This window comes from Homo sapiens, chromosome 9, assembly GCF_000001405.40.
Source record: "Homo sapiens chromosome 9, GRCh38.p14 Primary Assembly".
Lineage (NCBI taxonomy): Eukaryota > Metazoa > Chordata > Mammalia > Primates > Hominidae > Homo > Homo sapiens.
In genome coordinates, this window is record NC_000009.12 from 127277337 (window position 1) to 127304622 (window position 27286).

Sequence of the window (27286 nt, forward strand, 5' to 3'; positions counted from 1 at the left end):
TGGCACTTTCTCTTGCTCTCCCTGACTTCTCAAAAATTCCATTTAACAAATTCTTGATAAGATTACATCTAGTGTGTCCGTGTCCTCAGATGTAATTAACCTAATCCTGGGAGCTTTGATTTCCTTAATGCTGTAAAGAGTACTTTCCCTAATGTACAGCTCTGGCAACATCATCTTTATGCATTCAAGCAAACAAATTCCTGCTGTAATAACAACAGCAAACCTTCAGCATCTCTTTTTTGCTTATGAAATAAAGTAGGTAGTCTTCAGCTTGACAGTTAAGGCTTTCTGCAGTCTTGCTCCAACCTATCTCTGAGCCTTACTTAGCTCATGTGGCCCATGATCCAGCAAACGGACCTTTACCCACCATTGCCCAGGCCTGAGACTTCCTTATACTTTTTCATCGTTCTAGAATGCCCTCTTGAAATATGCCTCTGTTGAGTGTCATTTTTTCCATGCAGCCTTACCTGATTCCCCTATGGGAAAGTCATCTTTCACTATCTAGAACCCCACAATTGTTTGCATTTCTCTATGGTACCTGTCATATTTTACATTGTCATTATTTGTGGGCATTTTTTACCTGTCCTAGTAGGCAGAGATTATGGTGCTTTTGTTATTGTATCCCCAGCAGTACTTGGCTCAGTGCCAGACATCCACAAATCAGCTAGAAGATGAGTTTTGCCAAAAATCTCTCTAATAAATTCTTTTTTCTTAAATTTTTTATATTACTTCATAGTATTTTTGTGTGTATGTGCATGTGATGCTGATATACTTTTTAATATATTTTTCCGATTATGAAAGGAATACATAGTCATTATAGAAAATTTGAAATATACTGAAAAGCACAGAGAAGAAAATTAAATTCATGTGTAATCCTACAAATAATCACTATTACGATTTAGTACACATCGATTTAGTAATTAAATTTGTATACAAAATGGGTTTATGTATTTTATTGGGCTTCTTTACTTAAAAACAAAGTATAGTCTTTTTAGGCATAAAGTTGTCTTCCATAAATGACTTCATCTCCTTATATGCAAATCTCTTTTTTCGTCTTCATGTGTAATTGCATTGGCTATGACCTCCAAAGCAACCATAAATAGCAATAGTTGCAGGTGTCCTTGTCCTGGAGTTTCAGGTAAGTTTTTAAGGCTGTACATGAGGGTATCTTTTCTTAATCATTACATATCTGAGCATGTCTCTGATTCATAGCTTTCACAAGAACAACTTTACCTGCTTTTAAGTGTCTGAGTCATCACCTTTTTCCTTTAAAACTTCACAAATGTTGATCTGTTATCGTGTTAGTTTCCTAGGCCTGCTGTAAGAGTTTATCACAAACTGGGTGGCTGGGTCACTTAAAACAACAGAATTCTATTCTCTTACAGTTCTGGAGGCTAACAGTTCAAAATCAAGATGTAGCAGGGCCATCCTCCCTCTGAGGGCCGTGGGGAAGAATCCTTCCTTGCCTCTTCTAGTTTCTGGGGTTGCGGCGGCAATCCTTAACCCCCTTTGGCTTGTAGCTGCGTCACTCCAGTCTCTGCCTCTGTTATCACATCGCCTTCTCTCTGTGTCTCTGTATCTGAATCACCCTCTCTTTTTCTCTTATAAAGACATCAGTCATGGGATTTAAGTCCTACCTGAATCCAGTAGGACCTTATATCAACAAATTACATCTGCAAAGACCCCATTTGCAAATAAGATTATATTCTCAGGTTCCAGGTGGACCTGAATTTGGGGGGGGACACTATTCAACCAGTACAGTTACCTTTTGCCCTTTAGTGTTCTGAAGAGAAATCTGAGCCAGTTCCAATTCAGTTTCTTTCTTGGTGACCTTTCCTGGCTGGGTTTTTCTTACATTTTTTTTTTCTTTTCATCTTTCATTTTTTACATGTTTTCCATAATTTATCTGCACCTTTGTATTTTCATTAATTTTCCTTAAAACATTGCACCTCTGGGATTCTTAGATCCAGTCCTTTAATCAAGGATGAATATTTTCTTCTGTTATATCTTTGATTATTGCTTGTTTTTTCCCCTAAAATGGTAAAGACCATTTTCTCTGTCCTCCATGACTGTCTTTTCTTTCTTTTTATTTTCATTTTGTTTTGTTCCTTTCCATTCTATAATCAGCATCTAAAATGATGGAGATATTACTGTTTTAGTTCCCTAAAATTAACATTTTGTTTTCCTCCTCCAGTGAAGATTTTAATCCTACATTTGCATTTTTTCATCCTTTTTTATCTCACCCACTTGCACAAGGTTTCTACACTATTGCAAAGAGCTCATGTCTTCTGTCTCCCTGAGGACAGCAATGGCTATTCTGAAATTTTATTTTGGTTTCATAGTAAAGATGGTTAAAGGTATGCTTCCCTCTTTTAGTTTTCAGGATTATGTGTAGCATTTTTTCATAGCCCCCATTTTTTTTTGTTTTGTTTTCATTTTTGTTTTACTTCAAACAAAAACAAAGAGCTATTCAGACCTTTTTTTCAACATTCAGAATGTATAACTGGCTCTCAGCTATCATTGTTCATTTGGGACTGTAGCTTCTCTGAGTTAAACAACTGGCTGGCTGGAGATTATACAAAGCTCCTTGATCAATTTCCAGGGTCTAGTTGGTGTTTATCTTATAAAGCTCTGCTGGAGTGAGATAGGATATTCTCCTGTGCTTGGCTTTTTGCTGCTCTGTACCAGCGGCTCTAGAATTTATACATAACAGGGGCTTAGGAACTACCAGTAGCAGTCTGGTTGAAAGAGGCGTATTGAAGTAATGTTTGCTTAGCTCTTTACATAAGCCTGAGAAAATGCCAGCTGTCTAGATCAAAAAACAGGATGCAGATTGTGAAGAGGTTAAATCTCCCCCAGCCCCTTGGCATGTTGGGGAAACTAAACTCCCTGGGATGCTCTGCCCTCAGGACTCTCCATGTCTCGCTCCCTACCTGGGGCACTTGGTTTATGAGGACCACATTCTCTAAGATGGACTCACTCTCCCTCCCTACTTCTTGCCCAGTGTTTTCTTGTCATGAAAAAGAGGTGCTTGTACGAGTGAGGCTACCTCAAAATGCAGTGTCCATGCAGTAAAAAGATGATTCCTAGTGTTTTATTCTTACTCTTCTGAAAGACCCAATGTCTCTTAGCTAAAATTAGATGGTGTGGGGAAGATTAAAGTGCCTTCCAACCTTCCATAATTACCACAGATTTGTTCTGTTCCAAGCAACAAAGCCAGACACCAAATACGTTTCTCGATTCTTCTCCATTGGCCGTATAGTAAGTAGAAAATGTCTTGATATTTTGGACGTAGAATTGCCAATCATTCCTTCTTAATATTCAAAGGAGTTGTCATCATTTGTGGTGAATTTTCACAAGTCTTTTACTGGGAAATGGAGTATCAGGGACTACTGTTCAGATATGATTTTAATTAGAAAGCCAAGACAGGTATATTTTGAGCTGGAAAGCTACATGACAGTGCTTATCCTGAATTGCCTCATGTTTCTCAGTAAAATAGCAGAAAGGTCATCTGTTAGGAGAAAGGGTGTTTCTGTAGTGGTAACATGTGACAGATAAGGTGGAGGATGTGATGGGAAGTACAAAAATAATGGCTCAGAAGATTGGATGGTGGTGAGGATCTAGCCATAATCAAATAGCATGAGCATGTTGTAGGCCTGGTCAGATGGAAACTCTTCTTTGAACACAGAAAAAGAGTGAGAGTTCAGTTGGCAGGGTGTGAGCGAGTGACTTGACTTGGTGGCACGAGGAGGAGTGAGCAGCATGCCAGATATGTGGGGTGGTAAGTGCAGCCTGATTAACCACAGATCCCCAGATAGAACCCATGCCAAAAAGAGCCCGAGTGGGTTATGAGGTAAGGTAGGTCCCATGATGCCACAGCTGTGCCAATGAGAAGGAGAGGATGCTGTTGGAGTTAGGAATGGATGGCAGAGCCATGGAGTTGGGAGGTATTCGATTTGAAAAGACAGAAGAATATGAGCTCAGGCTGTCAGATCAATCATAGCGATGGGTGTTGAGTTTGCTGAGGACAGGGGCCAGGGACAAGGATGATAAGAAAAGTCTGAGTCCAGATCCAGGGCCTTGGTGGCTCTCCTCCAGCCAACATTTATCCTCTTGGCTGGGGAATCTGCCTGCCACCTGGTTGGTTCTATATGCGCCATGGTGCTCTCAGCACCCAGCTGCCCAGCTGCCCAGTCACCCGGATCTCCCTGTCCCCCGGCACAGGCAGAATAGGATCAAGGTGAGGAGTGGGAGGAGGAGAAAAAAACCTACCCCTTCCCCCTACTCTGGTCCTCACACTGGCTCCTTCTCCCTTGCCTTTCCCTGCAGGCACAGAAGTGGACTAAAAGAGACCAGGAGACAGGCCCCAGGGCAGCACTCAGCAGTGAGGGGATGGCTCATTCTACCCATGTTTATGCCTTTTCTCACCCCCTCTTTTTGATGCAGACATTTAAACTTTTCTTTCTTCCTTTCTGAATAGTAGTACTTTCTAAGTCAGGGATGTGTCTGTGTCTGTGTCTGTCTGTAATTTGCATGTGCAGGGTCAAATGGATCTGCTTTCTTGACCAGTATTTGCAGTTTAAATAAACCAGCTTATGTTGGAAATCATTTCTCAAAGATCCTATACATCTTCCAGAATAAATTGCATTATAGCAATGCAACCTTCCCCAGTTCCCCCAGGCAGAGTTGGTCTCTCCAGTGTCTGTCCCCTGTTCTTTTGTCTGTTGTTATGGCATTTAACCAGGTTGTGTTGTGATTTATCTGATTATATGTATGTGTGTCTCTTACTCCCTCTAGGATTTGCAGTCCTCTAGGGCAGGGATCATGTTGGATTTATCTTTGTCCAGCAGTTAGTACAGGCCCTGAAAAAAATGGTTTCAGTAATGTTTGCTAAATGGACAAATATTTAAACAGATCTTCCAAGAGTTTAAATGTAGCATAAAGTGGCTTAATCATGCTAATCAGAGCATTTTATATTAATCACTATCATATTACTACAATATATATTATAGCATTATAACATTTATTGAGCACTTATTATGTCCAGGTACTATTCTAGGCTCGTTATACATTTTACATTATTAAATCCTCACCACAAGCCTAGAAGTAGGTACAGTCATTGTCCCCATTTTAGACATAAGGAAACTAAAATTTAGAGAGGAAAAATTCAGTGATTTTCCCAAGGTCACATGGCTAACAAGTATGGAAGTGAGATTTGAACCTGGTCAGTTGAGCCCCAAAACCCATACTCATAAGCCCTCATTTTAAAGAAAGGGGATCTAGGAGAAAATATTACATATTATGCTTAAGGATGTACTTTACATAATCTTTTTGAGTTTTTTTTCTAAGTAAAAATATTGTTCCTGTGATTTATATACCTGAATGCCAAGTACACAGTGCATGCTGAACAGAGATCATAGGGAATACCAGCACTGATTTAGAATGGAAACAAGCACCAACCCAGTGAAACAAAGCAGTAAAATAAATGAGGAAGTGCTTTTTGTTTTTGAAAAATTACATATTTGTATTAATCTAAGAAAGATCCTCATTTAATAATTGCCTACAATTTGAAACTAATAATGTTTTTATTTATAGTTAATAACATTTTATGCTTTCTATTTAAAAAAATTAATTTGTTAAGTTCTACAAACAAGTATTCTTGCTTGGATCTTATTTTTTTTCCTGAGATAAAACATCTAATATATTGAACACTGTTCAGTGTTAAATGAAACAGTTAGTTTTGCTGAGATTAGACCAAGGCCTCCACTCAGGATGTTAAATCACATGAATTTTCACTACTTAACTAACTGAATGGGAAACCAATTTGATTTGGGTCACCCAGAGCTGCATGAATGTCCAGCATGTCATTATACATAAAAATATGTATAATTGGACAGGGTTGTGGCCCTGTCCAATAGAACTTTCTACAATTATGGAAATATTTTTATCTGTGCTGTCCAGTGTAGTAGTCACACATAGCCACTGAGCACTTGAAATGTGACTAGTGCACTCAGGAACTGAATGTTTTTTATGTTAATTAAAATTAAATCTAGGCTGGGCACAGTGGCTCACGCCTGTAATCCCAGCACTTTGGAAGACCTTAGCAGGAGGATCACTTGAGACTAAGAGTTCGAGACCAGTCTGGGCAACATAGTGAGACCCTGTCTTTACAAAAAATAAAAAAGTAGCCAAGCGTGGTGGCATGTGCCTGTGGTCCCAGCTACTTGGGAGGCTGAAGCAGGAAGATTGCTTGAGCCCAGGAGGTCAAAGCTGCAGTGAGCCATAATTGTGCCACTACACCCCAGCTTGGGAGACAGAGCAAGACCCTGTCTCAAAAAATAAAAAATAAAATTTAATTTAATTTAAACAAGGCTGGTGGCCACAGTATTGGACAGTGCAAGAACTCAGAAGTAATCACTCACAGTGCCTGGCAGATCCTAGCCAAATGATCACTTAAGTCGTTTTGTTGTTGTTGTTGTTTGTTTGTTTGTTTCCTTTTTCTCCCTCCTGGACACGGTCTTCCTCAGAATCTGAGTATTTGGTGTATGACCATAGCAGAGATATAAGACCAAATAAAGTTTAAAAAATCCTGTCCTCTTTTCTTAGCATTAGTGATGTTACACATACATGTTAATACCCTTTTCCTAAACATATCCATCAAAATGAATGCAAAAGATCTGGTGTCTCTTCTCAAAGGAAACTGCCCCACTTTTCTGTGAGTGTGTGGCTCTTATGTGGCTCTCATGTGGCTCTCGTGTAGCTCCGGTGTGGAGCATCAGATCCTTCACCTCCTCAGAAGATGCTCTGGGCCAGGGCTGCCTTTGTGGGGCAGTGTTGTGACAAGATCTTCAGTTTTGCAACTAGCTTTTGGTCTACTCAGATTTCTTTCTTAAAATATTTTTCATTGTGTATGTTTTCCTAGAAAATTTGCCATTTCATTGAACTTTTTGATGATATTGGCATAATTTCATATAGAATGAATGAATATAATTTCATTCTCTTAATCTTTTAGAAATCTCTTTCTTCTTAGTGGTTCTATTTTCTTTATTATCACTATATGTATTTGTCTTTGTTCTTTGCTTTTTAAAATCAGACTTGCCTTGGAGTATCTTGGATATGTTAATCAATTATACTATCTTTCTAGTTTTATAATTTCTGCTCTGATCTTTTATTGATTCCTTTCCCCTGCTTTCCTTGGGTTTATTTCATTGTTCTTTTTTTATCTTCTAGTGGTTAATGCTTAGTTCATTGTTTTTATCCTTTTTTGTTTGATAATAAAAGCATTGAAAATGTGAATTTTTCTGTAAATATAGCACCTATCACATTATGTGTTTTCATATGTACTGTTCTTATTGTTGTTCACATCTGAATAGTATCTAATTTTACTATTCCTATTTGACTCAAGAATTTATATAAATATATGCATATAAATAAATTTATACATGCATATATACATATATAAATTCTTGAGTCAAATAGGAATAGTAAAATAAATTTATATATGCATATATTTAAAGAGATGGGATATCACTGTGTTGCCGAGGCTGGAGTGCAGTGGCTATTGATAGGTGTGATCATGGCACACTATATCACTGAACTCCTGGTCTCAAGCGATCCTCCTGTTTCAGCCTCCCAAGTAGCTGGGACAATAGGCACAATAGGCTGAGATGCATATTTTCTGATTTTCAGTTTTTAAAATCCTTTTGATACTAATTTCTTATTCAGTTGCATTATGCTAAAAATGACCTGTACAATTTTATAGAATATTTTAGAAGTTTTTTATTTTATATTGTTCTGTAGAACTTTTTCTTCCTTTTCTGGGCCAGACATGGTGGCTCATGCCTCGGCACTTTGGGAGGCCGAGGTGGGCGGATCACCTGAGGTCGGGAGTTTGAGACCAGCCTGACCAACATGGAGAAACCCCGTCTCTACTAAAAATACAAAATTAGCTGGGCATGATGGTGCATGCCTGTAATCGCAGGAGACTGAGGCAGGAGAATCGCTCGAACTCGGGAGGCAGAGGTTGCAGTGAGTTGAGATCACGCCATTGCACTCCAGCCTGGGCAACAAGAGTGAAACTCGCTTTTCTTTCTTTTCAATATTAGGTCGGTTTTTTTAAAGTTTACTAGATATTTTTAAAGGTGTGTATTCTCTGTACCTTGATACAGTCCATATATGTCTATTAAATCATGTTTATTAAATTTATGATTTGATTCCGCTATAAATCCATACTCATTTTTGCCTTGACCTATCAGAGAGAAATGTACTAAAATTTCCCATTACAATTATAATTTTATAAACTCTTCTTTCTAGTTATAATAGTTTTTGTTTTATAGTGATATGTTGTTACTCATTACATAAATGTTTATAGTTATATTTTGGAGATGGGTGGTTCTAATTATCCATATAAAATAACATTTTTTATTTGATGTCTTTTTCTCCTAAGTTCTACTTTGTGATTTCATTATTCCCTTACTTTCTTTTTGTCCCAATTTGCCTAGAATATTTTTTACTTTGCCTTTCTTTTTCATGATTGCTTTATTGTATTTAATATATTTCATTTATGTTACCGATCAAGTCTTTTTTGTTTTAGTAGGGAAATGTAACCAATTCATATTTATTAAAACATCTGTGCTGTTCTGTTTACCTTTAGGAGAAGTTCCAGGCTCCTCTTTATCCACTTTCTCATTTTATCCCTCCCTCTCACTCCATCCTTCAGGAGTGCAGATCTGGATTGATCAGATTAGATAACATCTTACTAAGTACTAAACTCCTGGATAGACAGAGCTATATTTGCAAAGGTCAGAGCACACATGCAAACATGCAAAAGTCTCTTTTCTGGACTCTTCTCCCAGAAGAATAACAAAGGGCTGGATGCATTCCAGTGTGAGAGGAGACCTAACCAACTCCCTCCTCTTTGCTGGCTTTGGAGGGGTAAGATCTCAGACTGCCTTCCTGTCTTCTTTCTTTCTACACCATGTAGGCTGATCTACCTTCACTAGTAGTTCTCCTTTAGTCTTGGTCTCACTCATTAGTAGAGAACCTTGCTAGAGAGGGTGGTTAGTGTAGGAGATGATTTGTTTATTCCTGTGTTCTGTTCTCTGCCCAAGGACCACTTTCGTAACACCCCAGTCCATTCTTTACAGTTTTTCCCAGATATGTTCTCTGTTTTTCATAATCATTTTCCTCTATTTGTCTCAAACTGATATTCTGATTTACTCTTTACGGGCATTTTCTTCTCAGTTCTAGTTTTTGGTTCACCATGGTCACTACATTTTGAAATTCAGTAATTACACTTTTCATCTGAAAGCTGATTATAGATTGTCCCATTTTCATAGATTCAATATGCTCCCAAATTATTACCATAATTGGAAATTTTCAAAAAATTCCTTGGACTTTTTGTAGTAAATCTGTCTTGTAGAACATTTTCTCTGATATTTCAGATTTTACATTTTATACTATCAACTTATCATAGGATCAATGATTATTCTCTTGATTCTTCCTTATTGGGTGTATTAGTTGGCTTAGAACGTCACAGTGCGGTAAAAAACAACAAGTTTATTTCTCTCTCATATGCAGCCAGGAACTCTAAGTGGGTGGTGGGTCTGCACCACACATTCAGGCTCAAGAAAATCTGCTGTCTTCAACATGAATTTCCAGATCCCTCTGGTCATTGGGGTTCTAGCCAGTGGAGAAGGAAAAAGTGCATGGAAGAGGTACCTCCCCTCTCCTAAAGGGCCTGGGTCCATATATGTACCCAGGTGAGCTTTGGCCCACCTTCAAGTGGAATTAATTCAGTCAAATGGCCACCTCTAGGGAAATGGGGTCTAGCTTTGTGTCCAGCTATGATTCTGCACTGTGACAAATGGCGAGAGTGGATTTTGGTGGCAGCTGGAGCTCTGTACCATCTTAATGAATTGAGGGAGAGGGCTTCTAGGTTGTGCAGTTTTGACATTTAGATGGGTTCTGATAGAGATTGTGTCATTCCTGAGCCAAATCTTCTCCCAAAAAAAGAAAGTGTAGATTTTTTATAGTTGTAATTGGCCAGATCAAAGGTTTGTGAGGACAATAGAAAGAAAATGGACAGAGACAGCTACCTGATAATCAGCTTCTGTACTGCGTTAAAAAGATTTTCTTCCTGAAGTGTTAGTTTTTTCATTCCCCAGTTTGCTGGGGCACTTTCTCCTTTCACAGCAGCTGACGTACTGGTCTTCATCAGGCCCCAGCCACCACAGCCCCCTCTGCTTTAGTTAGCAAGCTGTGTGAGCCAGCCGGGCTTGGGGGACACTGAGACTGCCACTCTGTGCTGGCCCTGAGTGTGACCAGTAGGATCTCCTGCCCACCTACTGCCCTCCCACCCATGCTCTCCTCAGGCAGGTCCTGCCAGCATGAGCTCAGGGTGTTGGTGTGAACCTGCATGGTTTGATTAAGTTACTGCCCAACCGACTTTCCCCAGCCTGTGGTGCTTCCGGTTATCTGGCCTGCCCTTCACTTTGGCCTTTCCTTCATGATAGAGCTGGTAGAATTTCTTTGACATTTCTTGCATGATTAATGAACCTTCTCTGCTTTCCAGGGCCAGTATAGGTCTTACCCCTGTTTTTATATCCCTTTGGCCATTTGCAATAGAAATTTGGCATTCATCTATTCCCATATTTCTTGTTTATGAATATTTAATGAGACCGATACTGTGTCAGGTGTTATGCTTAGCTCTGGAGATGCAGTGGTGAGAACAAGTAAATGTAGTTGCTGTCTTTTGAAGTTTGCTGGAGAGCGGAGAGAGCGCCTGAGGAAAGACAGGTGGGAACCAAATAATCATGCAGAGAAATGTAAATCACAACTCTGCAGAGTGCCCCAAGAACTGACAACAGGGTCATCTTCCCAGGCAGTGGGTCAGGGAAGGTATACAGAAGGAGGGGGACTTTGGTAGAACTGAAGGATGAGTAGTAGGGTTTTTTAGGGGAAGGTGAGAAAGGAGGGCCTTCCAAGCCAGGAAGTCCCAAGCATGTGTCCTTCGGTGAGAAGAAGTGGGGATGCTGGAATAGAGGTGGGATTGTGGCACAGTCATATTTGCAGTTTGCATAATCACCCAGGCTGCAGGCTTCGTTGTGAGGAGCCGCTTGGAGAGGAGCAGTGGTAGATGGGTGTATAGACTCAGTAGGAGGTGGTTGTGGTCATCAAGGTGACAGATGATGGTGACTTGAATGAAGATGGGGATGGTGAAATGGTAACGGTGATAGTCAAACCCATTAGCATGAGCTCTGTCTTTATGGATTTCATGAGTTCAAAGGGAGCTGAATTTCTTTTTACCATCAAATCGTTAAATTTGTTCTTCCTTTTTTTCTTGAACTTTTTAAGCAAGACAAGCAATATGCTTCCTGTTCTAAACTCAACAAATGAAAAGAGCATTATTACGTATGCCTGTGTCTAAAATATAGTGTTTTATGATGTTTAATTTATATTTTTATATGAATGAATGACTATCAGCTCTTCTCCCAAGCCTTCGACTCCTAGATGAGACTAGTTATAGTCAGGACTGTCTCTAGCAACCTCTATTTTAAGGGTAACAAGTAAGGGGAGGGTGTGTCCCACGTCTTTATAGACCTATGTCAGACATTATTAATTGATCATAGTGCTCTTTTCTTGCCAAGTCCAGATGTCATCTCAGAATGCTTCTCCCAAAGCCCTTGAGGCAGCCTATACCAGTAACACTCTACCTGAAATCTACTTGCTTTTCCCTCTATTTTAACAGTGAGTAGAAACCCACAAAGAAGCTGTTGATGCTGAATCCTCTATACTTCCCCTGTGAAAACGGCAGTGACCCTATGATATCTAAATTTATCTTTCTCTTGTACTTTAAAATTGGCCTCTGTAAAGTTAGAGACAGTCCACCAGATTACCCTCACTTCTGACACCAACTACTACAGCGTTCAGGAGTCCCCAAGACCACTCTCAGGTTTGATAGTTTGCTAGAAGGACTCACAGAATTCACTAAAAGCTTCTAAGCTCACTTATGATTTATTACAACAAAAGGATACACATTAAGATTAGCCAAGGGAAGAGGTGCATGGGACAGAGTTCGGGAGAGTTCCATTGCAGAGCTTCCCATTGTCCTCTCCTGATGGAGTTGTAGACAGCATTAACTCCTCCTGGCGATGATGTGTGACAACATCAGCACCGAGTGGAATGTTGCTCATCAAAGAAGCTCACCTGAATTGCGGTATCCAGAGTTTTTAGCAGGGCTTGATCCCATAGATGTGGTTGACCACCCACGTGGCTGACCTGAGCCTTCACCCCTCAGAGGTAGAGCTGATACTGTGTGACCCAAAGCCCTCACTATAAATCAGTGTGGCTCAGAGCCCCTAAGTAATCAGACACTAACACAGGTCATTCCCAGGTCTTAGAGATCACCTCCCAGAAGCTGAGGGCAAAGGCTAGACCTCTGTTTGGACAAGTTGAAATTCATGACTACACAGCCTCTTGGGCTCATCCTCAGTTTAGCGAATAGTGTAATGATCTGATGTCATCAAAAAAACATTTGCTTTTAGAAATTATTTTGCAGGAGAAAGATGAAATATAAAAACTGAACCTAATCACGGACATTCTCTGGAAGATGGTTAGGGAGGGTGGTGGTTAGATGAGGACAATGGGTTTCTGGGGTCTGGCTACCTCTGTTCACATCCCAGCTCTACCTGTACTAACTAGTTAAGTGACTGTAGCCCGTTATTTTACCCTTCTCTGCCTCAGTTTCCTCGTTCATAAATGAGAATAATAATAATACCTACCTTGTGTTATTATGAGAATTAAACGAGATAATACATATTAAGAGCAAAAGAATGCATGGCATTCAACAAATACCAGATACTGTTTCTATATTTATCGTAGGAAAAATTTATCAATCTCTTTTAAGTAATTTTCCTTGAGAAAATTCATTGCAGTTTTTCCCTAAATTTTTTCTATTAATTTTTATACCATCGTATCTCTTAAGCACTAGTGAAAACGTGAGGTAACCATCTTTCCTGAGAAATCACATTTCTGTTTTGCTGAGTGAGCTCTGAGTTAGAGAGGTGAGAAGTGCCCCTCAGGGCAGATGCGTTCTGATGAGTCTGCTGCAGATCTTTGTTGCAAATTGTGGGTAGATTTAAAGGCTAAAAAAAGATGTGTTGCTTTCCCAAGTCACTACTGAGAAAATCTAGAAGGAGAAAATAAGTTAAATCTTGAGTCAGTAATTTTGGACTCAAGTGCCAAGCCCTGGTGTGTTCACTCACCTCTTTCGAACATTGGGCCCCTTGGAGACTGTCTATTTGCAAGCATCACCTTGCCAGAGCTAAAACACAGTCTGCCTGCCTGGGGAGGGACTAATTGGCCTTTTGGAAACTGTTTAAAACTGAATGAAGCACAGGCGCTTTCTCCGATGGTAGTAGAGCCTTGAGTTCTTGCCAGCCACTAATTGTTCTTTAGGCTTTCCTGTGAAGGAGGCTGAACTTGAGAGTTGGCTTTTGGTCTTGCCATCTGTGAACTGCCACTTGTCCACATGTGGTGTGTATTAAGATTGTTTTTGCTGGGAGCATCAGTATTGGAATGTGTTCCAATTAAAATGTGATGCTCTTGTTTTTCCACTCTTGCAGGTTAGGCATTCCTTACTCTTGGGTTCCCAAGGACAGTGGGAGCCAACTGTATGAGTACCTGCCTGATAGAGCTTTAAAAAAACTGTTAGCTTCTAGGCTGGGCACTCCAGCCTGTGTCCTTAGATGTGGCTTACTTATAGGATAATTACATACAGATAGAAGAGACATTGTAAATGCTTCCTAATTGAATGCTTTTTCCCCCCTAGCTTATTTCCAGTGATGCTGATGGAGCCATCCAAAGGGCTGGAAGATTCAGAGTGGAAAATGGCTCTTCAGATGAGGTAAGGAAGCCTCCCCACTTCCTGTAATGCCACCAAGCACATGATTATAGTGCCTGGGATATAGCAGTGAAAGAGTTCTGGAAGAGGTAAATAGAGCTTTTCAGAGCTTTGCTTGAAGCAAATGGAAGGGAAATGTCAGTATTCTGGCATGGAAGGTGCTATTCATAGGGTGACACATACCCTTTAAAAGATCTATGTTAAAACCAGGTAGACACAGGAAGTTGTTCTGCCAGCAGTGGGACCAAAGACAATTCTGCCACCCTCTGTGAATGGTCCCGAGTCCCAGTACTTCCTCTGCCAGGCTGATCAGCTTGGCACAGCCATCCGAGCAGTGCCAGGGTCCAGGAGGGAGATGCCAAAAATTACTGCAATGACAAAATGTCACCAGGAAAAGAGGCTGGTACTGCCTACTGCTCCTTGGGCCACGCCTACTTTCTGGGCTCTCTGGGTCTTCCTTGCTGCAGGCCACAGGGACTCACCTTGCTTTTTTTTTTTTTTTTTTTTTTTTGCCACTACCCTCTCTATCCCACGGGGTCTACCCTTTAAACTGCAGAGTATGGCAAAAACTCGCCAGCCTTTTTCTTCTTTGCTGCCTTTTTACACGGTAGCTCATCATAGCTCTAGTTCCCTGACCCTGACCCTGGGCAAGGACCCCAGCCACCCTGAGCCTCATTTTTTTTTCATCTGTAAATTAGAAACTGTCTCAAGATTATTGCAAGAATTCAGTGAGCTATGTTTGTGAAACTCCTAGCACTATGCCTGGCACATAGTAAGCTTCAGAAGTGCTAGTTATGATGCTATTGATGGTTATTGTTATTGTCATCACTGCCACATTGCCGGTTTTCTCCTGACCACCTCCTAATGCAAATTCTCGGTAAAGAGCTATGAATTTAACTTGAAAGCCCATGACATTTGGGAAGTGATTGCATGTTTTCACTCTTGGCCTTAGCCATGTACATTTACCTGACCCTTGCCATTGACATGTTAGCCAAATGGAGGCTGAATACCCCTGAATAGGTACCCACATACTTCTTGTTCAGAATGATGTTAGCTGACCCACATAGAAGAAGGAACTCATGGAGAATTTTGCTTCTGAACCTTAGAAACATCCCTCTCCAAATGGCCTGGCCCCTGGGACTAGATAGCCTCACCACCACAAGCTCAGGCAGCCAAGGGTTCTCAGGAGCTAAGCCAGGCACAGAGGCATTGAGTTATTGCTCTCCAGTGCTTGGAAAGCTAGCGGCCACCATGCCGAGTTTCTACTTTGAGAGCCCATGGAGGCTGTATACCTTGAGACATCTTTCTGCTACCAAAATTTTGCAGAACTTCAGCCCAGCCTGAAATGGACAAACCAAACTGGACTTTGCCACCCTACGTAAGCACAACTCTGGCCCCTGCCGCATCCAGTGTCTGGAGGAAATACACACCTCCCAGGAAAGACATCAATGGGGCCTTCATGTGATCCTTAATCACCATACACTTGGCAGTCAAACACTGCTCACCTGGCCCTGCCATACACCAGAGGATAGGTTCTGGGACCCAGTCAGGGGTTAGAAATAACCTGTGCTTGGGTCATGATCAGGAGTGGCTTAAGAGTCAGACTTCCCAGGGTTCAAATCATGGCCCTACAACTCACCAGCAATGTGGCCTTGGGCAGTTCAGTTGACATCTTGGGAACAATTTGGGGGAGTTACTGATTTCACAAGTCATTGCAGTCTGTTGTGTTCAAAACACAGTCCGTCTCAAATTGCTTCTCTGGAAATATAATATCAAGGATCGAATACTGTTTTAGGTTTTATTTCCACCGAAACTACTGAGCATGATGCTCCATTGGAGCACCTTGGCTGTTTTGTATTGGTGGTCTTCAGTTAAAAGTTTCTGGCCAATGGTACTTTCTAGCCTGATAAAAGACCTTGTGGGCACTTGACTTCCAGAGGGAAAAAACAGCTGGCTTTCTCTGAATTAGGTAAAGCAGTTAGTGCAGTAAAGGACTCACTATATATAGTTGCTTAAAAATTCTCAAACCTCTGAACAAACAAATTGCAAATTTTGTTTTTGGGTTATTTGTGCTTTTATTATTCAATTGTAAGAGTTTTTTATATAGTCTGGATAATTAGACACTTATCAGATATATGATTGGGAAAAGTTTTCTCCTATTCTGTGGGTTATCTTTTCACTTTCTTGGTTGTGTCCTTTGAAGCACAAAAGCTTTAAGATTAGATCATGTCTAGTTTGTCTGTTTTTTTTCTTTCATTGCTGGCACGTCCGTTGTCATGTCCGAGAAACCATTGCCTAATCCAAGGTTGCTTGGTCACTTTTTATAGTTTACTGTTCCCTTGAGATAATGTCAAATTTGTCTTTTATTTCTTTAAACATAGTGTAATGGTTTTATCATCTGCGACCGAGAATTCCAATATGTGAAGTTTTTGTGGCTGTTGTTTCATTGTTTTCCTCTGGCCTATGCTCCTCATGTAATGTGCTTCTGCGTGTGCTAGGCTGCCTGATTGTGTGCTACTTATTGTTCCTGAAAATTTTTAGGAATAATATAAAGCCTAAGATGAGTTGCTTTTTGGTAGGGAGGACTTATGTTTGCTTTTGCCAGATAGATACCTTTAAACCAAATACCCATCTTGAGACCTTTTAAACTACCAAAGTGCTGCAGATTACAACTACAGATTTATGTGAAAGCTGGCTTGTGGTCACCACACCTCAGAGACACTCCCCTGCTCAGCTCTGCTCGGTGCTGTGACAACTTCCTTGTAGTTTTTGGTGGTGGAGGTGGTTTCTTCTGATTCCCTCTTCCTTCAGTGTGCAGCCCTTTGGGATCCTAGCATAATGTGGGGCAGGGCTCCTATTGGACTTGCCTACCCCAGTGGGTCTTGGGATTTGACTCTTTGTCCCCAACAAGGTCACCAAAATCCAAATTCAATTTTGCTGGGATTGACAAACATCCTCAAGCCAAAAAGGACTTTCATGCTGCATTTACCTCTGTGCGTTCCCACTTGCCTTTCAGTTTTAATTGGCAATTCCTACAATCTGGTAAGCACTCCAGTGCTTTTTTCCCACCCCTCCCCCCGGCCAAGACAGAGTCTTGCTGTGTCACCCAGGCTGGAGTGCAGTGACACTATCTCGGCTCACTGCACCTCCGCCTCCTGGGTTCAAGCAATTCTTCTGCCTCAGCCTCCCAAGTAGCTGGGATTACAGGTGTGAGCCACCATGCCTAGCTAATTTTTGTATTTTTAGTAGAGATGGGATTTCACCATGTTGGCTAGGCTGGTCTCGAACTCCTGACCTCATGATCTGCCAGCCTTGGCCTCCCAACATGCTGGGATTACAGGCATGAGCCGCTGCGCCCGGCCTCCAGTGCTTTTAAGGAGATGATTTTAATATTTTTCTAGTACTTTTAGTTTTTTCAGTGGGAGGGTTGATCTGAATAACCTAGCCTGCCATTACCAAAAACATAAGTTATATCGGGAGTGCTTTTCATATAATGTGACAAAACATTCATTCAACTGGCATTCATAGGGTCATTTCCTAGTGCCAGACAGGCTGAGCCCTGGATGTAGGATTGAATAAGCCTGCTGAAGTCCCTGCTCCTAGGGGCCTGCAGATGGCAGGGAGAGCCATCAGTAACCAATACAAACACATAGAAGGATTGCAAATTTTGGTAACTACTGTGGCAAAAACAGAGGACCATGGTGCAAAGAAACAGGAAGAGCCCTATTTAAGATGGGGTCGTCAGAAAGCCCTTATCAGCGACAGCCAGTGAGGCCAAGCCTCTGAACAGTGCTTCTCAGACTGTCCATCTTTTCAATTTCCGGTCAGTTGCAGGAAATTAAATATGTGATCCTACTCTGCATAACTAGTACACAGAACCCACCTTATGCAACTCATCAAGGAATTGGATATCATCCAGATTGGTCTGGACAGTTTCATGAGATGAATCCACTGAACATGTACTTACATGCCACAGGCATGTCAGAACACTGTAAAGGTTTCTTGTACACCTTGTCATGGACTAGTAAACAGTTTGCAGATTGGCATCCATCAGAATGGACCATACTTTCCTGCCTTAGAGTTCATCTGGGCCAATCCCCTTCCCAATGCATGAGTTCCTGCATCAGCTTTGCCAGCAGTTAGCTGATCTGTTCCTGCTTGAGTGTATCTCCAGTAATGGGAAACTTGATACCTCCTTTATAGGACTTTTTTCCTCCTGACACCAATCAATTCTGACACCAACTGAGTGTCCTACAATTCAATTCTCACACCGACTACCTGGAGTTAGCGTCAGACTCCACAGGTTTAAGGGCTCAGTCCCACAAGACTGTCCTCATTTCAGAAGCCAGTCACAAGCATTGGGTCCCCAGATTACCTACATTCCACATTTCTTACCAACTTGGCTACAAAGTCAGGTAGCCGTTACCACAGCCTCCTCCTCAGCTTCCATAACTCCCTAAAATCACTCACAGAATTAATGAAAGCACTTTTTTTTTTTTACTATTACTGATATATTATAAAGCATCAGTCCCCAACCTTTTTAGCACCAGGGACCAGTTTTGTGGAAGACAAGTTTTTCCACGGACCAGGCAGTGGGAGATGGTTTCAGGATGATTCAAGCACATTACACTTATTGTGCCCTTTACTTCTATTATTATTACATTGTAATATATAATGAAATAATTATACTACTCATCATAAGGTAGAATCAGTGGGAGCCCTGAGCTTGTTTTCCTGCAAATAGACGGTTCCATCTGGGAGTTATAGGAGACAGTGACAAATCATCAGGCATTGGATTCTCATGAGGAGCACACAACCTAGATCCCTCGCATGTGCATTTCACAATAGGGTTCATGCTCCTGCGAGGATCTAATGCTGCTGCTGATCTGACAGGAGACGGAGCTCAGGTGGTAATATAAGTGATGGGAGTGGCTGCAAATATAGATGAAGCTTTGCTCACCCACCACTCACCTCCTGCTGTGTAGCCCAGTTCCTAAGAGGCTATGGACCAATACCAGGGGTTGGTCTGTTATAAAGAGTACAACTCAGGAAGAACCAAAGGGAAGAGATGCATAGGGCAAGGTATGGGGGTGGTGGCATGGAGCTTCAATACCTTCTCCAGTTGTATCCATATTTTCAGTACCTCAATATGTTCCCCAACATGGAAGCTCCCTAAGCCCCATGATTTAGGGGTTTATATAGAGGTTTCATCAGGTAGGCATGACTTTTTTTTTTTTTTTTTTTTTTTTGAGACGGAGTTTTGCTCTTGTTGCCCAGGCTGGAGTGCAATGGCGCGATCTTGGCTCACTGTAACCTCCACCTCCTGGGTTGAAACAATTCTCCTGCCTCAGCCTCCCAAGTAGCTGAGATTACAGGCACCCACCATTGTATCCAGCAAATTTTTATATTTTTAGTAGAGACAGGGTTTCACATGTTGGCCAGGCTGGTCTCGAACTCCTGACCTCAGGTGATCTGCCCACCTCGGCCTCCCAAAGTGCTGGGATTACAGGCATGAACCACCACGCCTGGCCAGGTAGGCATGATTAATTAAATCATTGGCCATGGATGACTGCCTCAATCTTCAAACCCTCTCTCACCCTGGAGGTTGGGGTATGGAGCTGAAAGTTCCAAGTTTCCAATCAAGGCTTAGTCTTTCTGGCAGCCACCCCCGATCCTGCAGCTATCTAGGAGCCCCCTGTGAGTCCCCTCCTTAGAACAAAAGATGTTCCTGTCACCCTTATCACTCAGGAGCTCTGTGCTAGGAACCACTAACAAAGACCAAATACGTATTCCCATTATACCACACCCCTAAAGCAGTTAATTCCATTTTTCAGAATCTCTTAATTTCTAGAAAGGTCTTTTTATTGAACATAATTCACCTGTCTACTGTATTTTCTTTTTCTTTTCTTTTTTGAGACACGGTCTCCCTCCCTCTGTCACCTAGGCTGGAGTGCAGTGGTGCAGTGATGGCTCAATGAAGCCTCGACCTCCATGGCTCAGGTGATCCTCCAACCTCAGCCTTCTGTGCAGCTGGGCCTACAGGCGCAGGCCACCACGTCTGGCTAATATTTGTATTTTTTGTAGAGATGGGGTTTTGCCATGTTGCCCAGGCTGATCTTAAACTCCTGGGCTCAAGTAATTCGCCCACCTCAGCCTCCCAAAGTTTTGGGATTTCAGCTGTGAGCCACTGAGCCCAGCCTATATTTTCTTTTTTCTTTTTTTTCTTTTTTAACACAAGGACAATTTTAATCCTACATTTTCCTATAGTATAACAGCATCCATTGCTAGCTATCTATGAATTGAAACTGCATTTGCTAAGAACTGTGAACATTAAGAAGCTTTACATGAAGTCACATGTGTTGATATAGGCACATAGACATCTTCTAGCACCAACAGAATACATACGTAACACATACCGAATGATCTTGATGGATAAATTTGCTCCACCAGGTAATTCTATTTAGTAAAATTCAGTTAATGCAGAATCCCATTTTTAAAATTTACATCTTTATTACACATTTTTTTATTTTTAAAAAGTCATTCCAGATTGTAATTTGCATGGCAATAAACAGTGGCTTCATGGATTCTTAGTTTCTTAAAGCTGTCTATAGCAATTTAAAACACAAGTCTTCTTTTCAATTTGCAGCACCTGACTTAAAGTTTAAATTCATCGAATGTACTCATTAAAACTGTTCAGTTTCTCTTATGAGAAAGACATGTTTCAATTGCTATTTCCCAAACTATCTGTTGAGCATGGGTGTGTATTGTTTTTATTTGGTTAATAGAATTACTCACACAATTTATAGCCGGAACAAAAACCTCTAGCCTCTCTGAATGGCCTTCCACTCAAAACAGCGATGAAAATAAATGTCTAAAATGTATCTGGGGTCTGCCCCAACTTGATATCACCAAACGTGTTTCCAAGTTTTTGTTTTTGGTTTTTTGGGGTTTTTTTGAGACGAAGTCTTGGCTCTTATTGCCCAGGCTGGAGTGCAATGGCGTAATCTCAGCTCATTGCAACCTCTGCCTTCTGGGTTCAAGCGAGTCTCCTGCCTCAGCCTCCCAAATAGCTGGGATTACAGGCACCTGCCACCATGCCCGGCTAATTTTTGTATTTTTAGTAGAGACGGGGTTTCACCATGTTGGCCAAGCTGGTCTCAAACTCCTGACATCAGGTGATCCATCCACTTCAGCCTCCCAAAGCACTAGGATTACAGGCATGAGCCACCACGCCCGGCCTGCTTCCAGGTTTTCTTAGAAAATATGGTTTTTAACTCTATGCATAATACTCTACCACGTGATACACCATCACTTCTTTATTTCCCAGTTGTTCATTTCTACCATTTTATACTTGTAATTTTTTATATTATAAATAATATTGTAATGAACACCTTCATCCATAAGTTTTATGCGAGACTGGTTATTTCTTTAGAATAATATCAAAGAAGTGGCTTACTGGTTCAAACAGTACATGTGGTTTTAAGGCTTTTAATATAATTTACTGAATAATCTCCAGAGTAGCTCAAAAAAGTCCTACCGACAGTATGTTATTATGCCTCCAGAGTCGACTTGCTAACAGTGAAGCAAATTCAACCACAAATTTATTAGATTCTCACCTATCTCAAGATTATCACATCAAAGAAGCAAGAAGATGTATTACTGGTGAGGAAGCCAAATTCAAATTCTTTCAGAAAATTCACTCAACTTTAGATCTGTAAAATAGTCAACAGAAATGCTTCCCACAAAAAGTCTACAGGGCTTTTCCAAAAATAAAAAGAGAGAAAGAGAAAAGTCAGGCCAGGCACGGTGGCTCACGCCTATAATCCCAGCACTTTAGGAGGCTGAGGCGGGTGGATCACGAGGCCAGGAGACTGAGACCATCCTGGCTAACATGGTGAAACCCCGTCTCTACTAAAAATACAAAAAAAGTAGCCGGGTGTGCTGGCGGGTGCCTGTAGATCCAGCTACTCGGGAAGCTGAGGCAGGAGAATGGCATGAACCCGGGAGGTGGAGCTTGCAGTCAGCACCACTGCACTCCAGCCTGGGCAACAGTGCGAGACTCCGTCTCAAAAAAAAAAAAAAAAAAAAAAGAAAGAGAAAAGTTAGTACCAAATGACCAGAATTTTTTATTTGACTAAATTCTATTCCATGCATAAGCGTGACAGTCTCCTGTGTTTATCTGACTTTGGCAATAAAAAAACAAGCAGCCTTGTGCAATGGTGCCATCTTGGCTCACTGCAAACTCTGCCTCCCAGGTTCAAGCGATTCTCCCACCTCAGCTTCCTGAGTAACTGGGATTACAGGCGCCTGGCTAATTTTTTTGTTTTTGTTTTTGTTTTTGTTTTTTTTGAGATGGAGTCTCGCTCTGTCACCCAGGCTGGAGTGCAATGGCGTGATCTCAGCTCACTGCAAGCTCCGCCTCCCGGGTTCATGCCATTCTCCTGCCTCAGCCTCCCAAGTAGCTGGGACTACAGGCACCAGCCACCACACCTGGCTAATTTTTGTATTCTTAGTAGAGACCGGTTTCACCATAGCCAGAATGGTCTCGATCTCCTGACCTTGTGATCCGCCCACCTCGGCCTCCCAAAGTGCTGGGATTACAGGTGTGAGCCACCGTGCCCAGCCAATTTTTTTTTGTATTTTTAGTAGAGATGGGGTTTCACCATATTGGCCAGGCTGGTATTGAACTCCTGACCTCAGGTGATCCACCTGCATCGGCCTCCCAAAGTGCTGGGATTACAGGCATGAGCCACCATGTCCGGCCATATATACATTTTTTTTAAAGGCCTGTCTCCCTTTGGCCATATCGAGATTAAGCTCAGGTCATTAAAAACAGACAGATTTTCAAAATCACTTCTTTACTTCTCCAAGATCTTCAGTGCTGTCATCATTTACCTCTGGCCAGTTTTCCTGAATAACATCAATTATGTCATCTGTAAAGTCTTCCTGAATGATAATTTCTTCCTCTTCTGTTACTGAGGCACCACACAATTTTTGAGCAAAAAATCTTTGTGCTTTTTTAAGATCAATTTCAAAAGTTAGAGGCCACACATTCATGTTACATGTTTCTTCTCTGTTGTGGGAATTTTGGCTGTGTAACCTTTTCTGGTATGGCCTTCTTTTCTTTGTTTTATTTGACCCCTTTCACCTCTCTTTTGTATTTTATTCTTCTCTTCTGCCCCTGCTGTTCCTTGACCCTCATTAATTCCAGCTTCTTGTTTGGGTGAATTTTCTTTTTTTTGTTGTTTTTTGAGACGTAGGCTGGAGTGCAGTGGTGGGATCTTGGCTCACTGCAACCTCCACCTCCCAGGTTCAAGCGATTCTCCTGCCTCAGCCTCCAGAGTAGCTGGGACTACAGGCATGCGCCACCACGCTTGGCTAATTTTTGTATTGTTAGTAGAGATAGGGTTTCACCATGTTGGCCAGGCTGGTCTTGAACTCCTGACCTCAAGTGATCTGTCCCCCTCGGCCTCCCAAAGTGCTGGGATTACAGGCGCGAGCCACCGCGCCTGGCCCTATTTGGGTAAATTTTCTACAGTAAGTTTTGCAGATTCATTTGGAAAATTCTTCTCTAACCATTATCTACATTTAGCAACATTAGGCATGTATTTACAGTAGCCTGTTGGTAATGAACAGACTCCACAATAAAGGACTCACAGTGGGTAATCAGCATCTAACTCGGCCCTGTTCCTTAGGTCTCCTTTGCACTTGGCCCCATAGGATTCAGAAATGTCTGCAGCCATTTCACAAACCCAGGTGGTTCCCTCTGCTATTGCCAGTTGAAGCGACACATGGAACTATCATCTGTATTTTCCACTCAGTGTTTCTATTTATATTCTCCATAGCCCCAGACTGTAAGTCTGAGCCCTCTTCAATGTGACATCTGTTGTTTTCCTCCTAAGACACAGGATCAGTTCCATCATTGTCATCCTTATTGCTGTTCCTTGGACACATGTGAGGTTGTTATTGAACCTTTTGGACCAAAGTGCTCAGAACCGAACACAGGGCTCTGGGCATGCTCCACACAGCCACAGAGTGGAGCAGGCTCATCCCCTTTCTTGCTGTAGACACTCTACCTCTTTTTATGGACCCTAATGACTCATTATGAACCTACAATATGCTACTTTGCCCACCCCCCATCTTTTTCACATGTGCTGGTGTTTAGCTGTGGAGCAGCACTATGATATAATGGAGACTATTTTGGAGTCAAACAAACCTGGGTTCAAACCTCAGCTCTACCACTCTCTAGTTTACAATTCAGTGTCTCTGTGCCTCAATTTCCTAATGGGTAAAAAGGGAGGGGAAATCCTTCCTTATACCATCTGAGCTTGTCCTTCAGTAATTTGTATTTTGTATCTAAGTGAAGGATCTTGCATTGTCTACATTGAATTTAATCTCATTAGTGTGTCTCATAATTCCTAATTGTCAAGACTTTTTGGTGACATCTTGATTCTGTCACCTGTCCTGTTAGCTAACCCACTAAGCAGCTTTATTTTACCTTCAGATGTGCTTGTCTTGCCATGTGTGTGCTTATTCAGATTATTAATTAAAATGAGTGTGACCCCTGGGTGGATCACTGGGGACCTCCCTTACAGCTCACTTGTATGTATCAATTAGTAGATGGTGCAGCAGAGGGGACAATCTTTCAGCTTTTTACAAATCTATCTTCCTTAGCATTGGGAGGACTTTTTTTTTTTTTTTTTTTTTTTTTTTTTTTTTGAGACAGAGTCTCGCTCTGTCGCCCAGGCTGGAGTGTGCAGTGGCGTGATCTCGGCTCACTGCAAGCTCCGCCTCCTGGGTTCACGCCATTCTCCTGCCTCAGCCTCCAGAGTAGCTGGGACTACAGGCGCCTGCCACCACACCTGGCTAGTTTTTTCTATTTTTAGTAGAGACAGGGTTTCCCCGTGTCAGCCAGGATGGTCTCGATCTCCTGACCTCATGATCCACCCGCCTCGGCCTCCCAAAGTGCTTGGATTACAGGCTTGAGCCACCGCGCTCGGCCGGGAGAACTGTTATACACTGTTGGAGGATATGAAAATTACCACAATCTTTTGGGAAGGCAATTAGCAATAATTAAAAATGTGTATACCATTTGGCAAGACCTTCTATTGCTAGGACGTATATTGTAGCATTATTTAAAATAGGAAAAAAACTGGAAACAGCATCAATTTCTTTCAGTAGAGGAATTATCATGTAAACTATGGTCCATTTACACAATGAACTGGTTAGTGGCCATTAGAATGAGGTAGACACATATGTACTACTACACAAAAAATGTTTAAGATACATGTTAGACATAAAGGCAAGTTCCAGAATGACTTGTTTAATATCATGCCATTTTTCTTAAAAACAAAAAAATGGGAAATATGCTCGTCAAGATGCGAGAAAATTTCTGAAAAGATACAGAAGAATATAATAGTAATTGTTTCTGGAGAATGGAAATGGGAGCTCAGGAAAGAAGCTGGAGCTGGAGGACCTTAACTTTCCACTTGATGCCCTCATATACTGTTTACATATTTTACAAGCTTATATTCATTCAACTGAAGAGTTGAATTTTTTAAAAGAAGAATCTATGTAGTTGTTAAAAAGAACAAAATAGATCTATATGTATTGACATAGAAATATTCCCGGGCTGGGCATGGTGGCTCACGCCTGTAATCCCAGCACTTTGGGAGGCCGAGGTGGGTGGATCACGAGGTCAGGAGATCGAGACCATCCTGGCTAACATGGTGAAACCCCGTCTCAACTAAAAATAGAAAAAATTAGCCAGGCGTGGTAGTGGGTGCCTGTAGTCCCAGCTACTCCAGAGACTGAGGCAGGAGAATGGCGTGAACCCGGGAGGCAGAGCTTGCAGTGAGCCAAGATGGCACCACTGTACTCCAGCCTGGGCGACAGAGCAAGACTCCATCTCAAAAAAAATAAAAATAAAAATAAATATTCCCAAGATATTTTCTTTAGCAGAGAAAAATTTTTCAGTGTAATATCTATACTACTGTCCCATTTATGAAAACAAATTATGTATATGTATATATAGGCTTATGTATGTATATATATTTTTGTATGTATATATGTATGTGAATGTGTGATATGTGTGTATGTGTGTATAAAGTAAACACATCTTTGTAAATGCATAAAAAGATCTGGGATTATTCAGACCAATCTAGTAGCATGGTTATTAGAGGGAAAAGAAGTAGGTTGGGTCATGGAGGATGGGGGAAAGAAAAAGATTTTAACCTTTGTGTAGTTTCACATTTTTATAATCAGCTTTCATGCTTACATTTGTAATTTTTTAAAAGTTTTAGTTTGTTTTTTAAAAGAATCCATTTTCCCTACTGCCATGTTATCTCAGCAGTTTAACCTAGGAACTGAAGTAAAATCAGCGTAACTGCATTCATTCATGTATTGAACTCACTCTGGAATAGACTCTATGAAAAATCAAAGGAATTATTTTAAAACTGTGGATACCATTTGTATTCTGAGTTTCTGTATTTTGTGGATTCCCTGCTTAAAGTCAAATATTTGAGAACATTCAAATAAAATCAGGGTGTCATATATGGATTTTGATTACATTATCCTCAAAATATCCTGGCCAGATTCAGTCTTCCTCCGTCACATCCCACAAGTATAAGTAGGGGGTGGGGGAAGATAATGAAGACAGTGAGAAGCTTTGGTGGGCTTTGGATCTGATGCAGAAATGATTCAGGACTTTTGGGTCTCTGTGGGCATGTACAGGCCTGAATGCAGCATGGAGCAACTTGAGTTCATTTCCCTCTGTTGTAGCCTTTCACAAATGTTTACCTAAAGGGCATAAAATAAGCATGAGTGTTTGCAATGTTAAACTTCAGTTATCTGGAAAGTGTACTCATCAGCCTATTTTCTCCTAACTTTCTAGTTGATGTCAAATGAATAATGTGTTCCTGTTTCATTGTCACCTTAAACTCCTATAGACAGAGTTTCTATATCTCCAAGATCTTTTGTAAAATAGGTGACACTTAAATTAGTTAGGATTTATTGTAGGTTAAAACCACAATTAGGTACTACTTCACCAACTCCAGAACTGCAAGGACTGAAAAGCTAAAAGTTTGGTCAGAGAACATGGAACAACTAGAGCTCTCATATATCTTGCTAATAGGAGTTTAAATTGGTGTGTGTATCCTCTTTGGAAAATTTTTTGGCAGTATCTGCTAAAACTGAACACACATACGTCTGTGTCACCGGATGTATACCCAACAGAAATGAGTACTTGTATCCACCAAAAGACAGACTCAAAATGGTCATAGTGGCTTTATTCTTTTTTTTTTTTTTTTTTTTTTTGAGACAGAGTCTCACTCTGTCACCCAGGCTGGAGTGCAGTGGTGTGATCTCAGCTCACTGCAACCTCCG

General features: G+C 41.2%; 1 protein-coding gene and 1 pseudogene across 17 annotated transcripts in view, besides 2 other annotated features; one reads left to right on the plus strand and one right to left on the minus strand.

Moving 5' to 3' along the window:
* GARNL3 (GTPase activating Rap/RanGAP domain like 3) overlaps positions 1–27286 on the plus strand; it is a 169048-nt gene that overhangs the window by 52724 nt on the left and 89038 nt on the right. For all 17 annotated transcript variants that reach the window (NR_104591.2, XM_047423963.1, XM_011519086.4 and 14 more), the window contains one exon: positions 13832–13906. Coding sequence is in view for 11 of the 17 variants with exons in the window: in XM_047423963.1 (XP_047279919.1) it covers positions 13832–13906 (75 nt within the window). In the remaining 6 variants the exon portion in view is untranslated. The remainder of the gene's footprint in view (positions 1–13831; positions 13907–27286) is intronic.
* Positions 7981–8188: a silencer, noted in NCBI's record as "fragment chr9:130047596-130047803 (GRCh37/hg19 assembly coordinates)". NCBI's record gives its function as "represses an EF-1alpha promoter that drives an FKBP-Casp9 reporter gene in an ReSE screen in K562 erythroleukemia cells {active_cell/tissue: K562}" and the evidence as "EXISTENCE:reporter gene assay evidence [ECO:0000049][PMID:32094911]".
* Positions 16535–16584: a silencer, noted in NCBI's record as "silent region_20301". NCBI's record gives its function as "represses an Ori minimal core promoter by ATAC-STARR-seq in GM12878 lymphoblastoid cells {active_cell/tissue: GM12878}" and the evidence as "EXISTENCE:reporter gene assay evidence [ECO:0000049][PMID:35858748]".
* On the minus strand, positions 22668–23702 carry DENRP4 (DENR pseudogene 4; annotated as a pseudogene).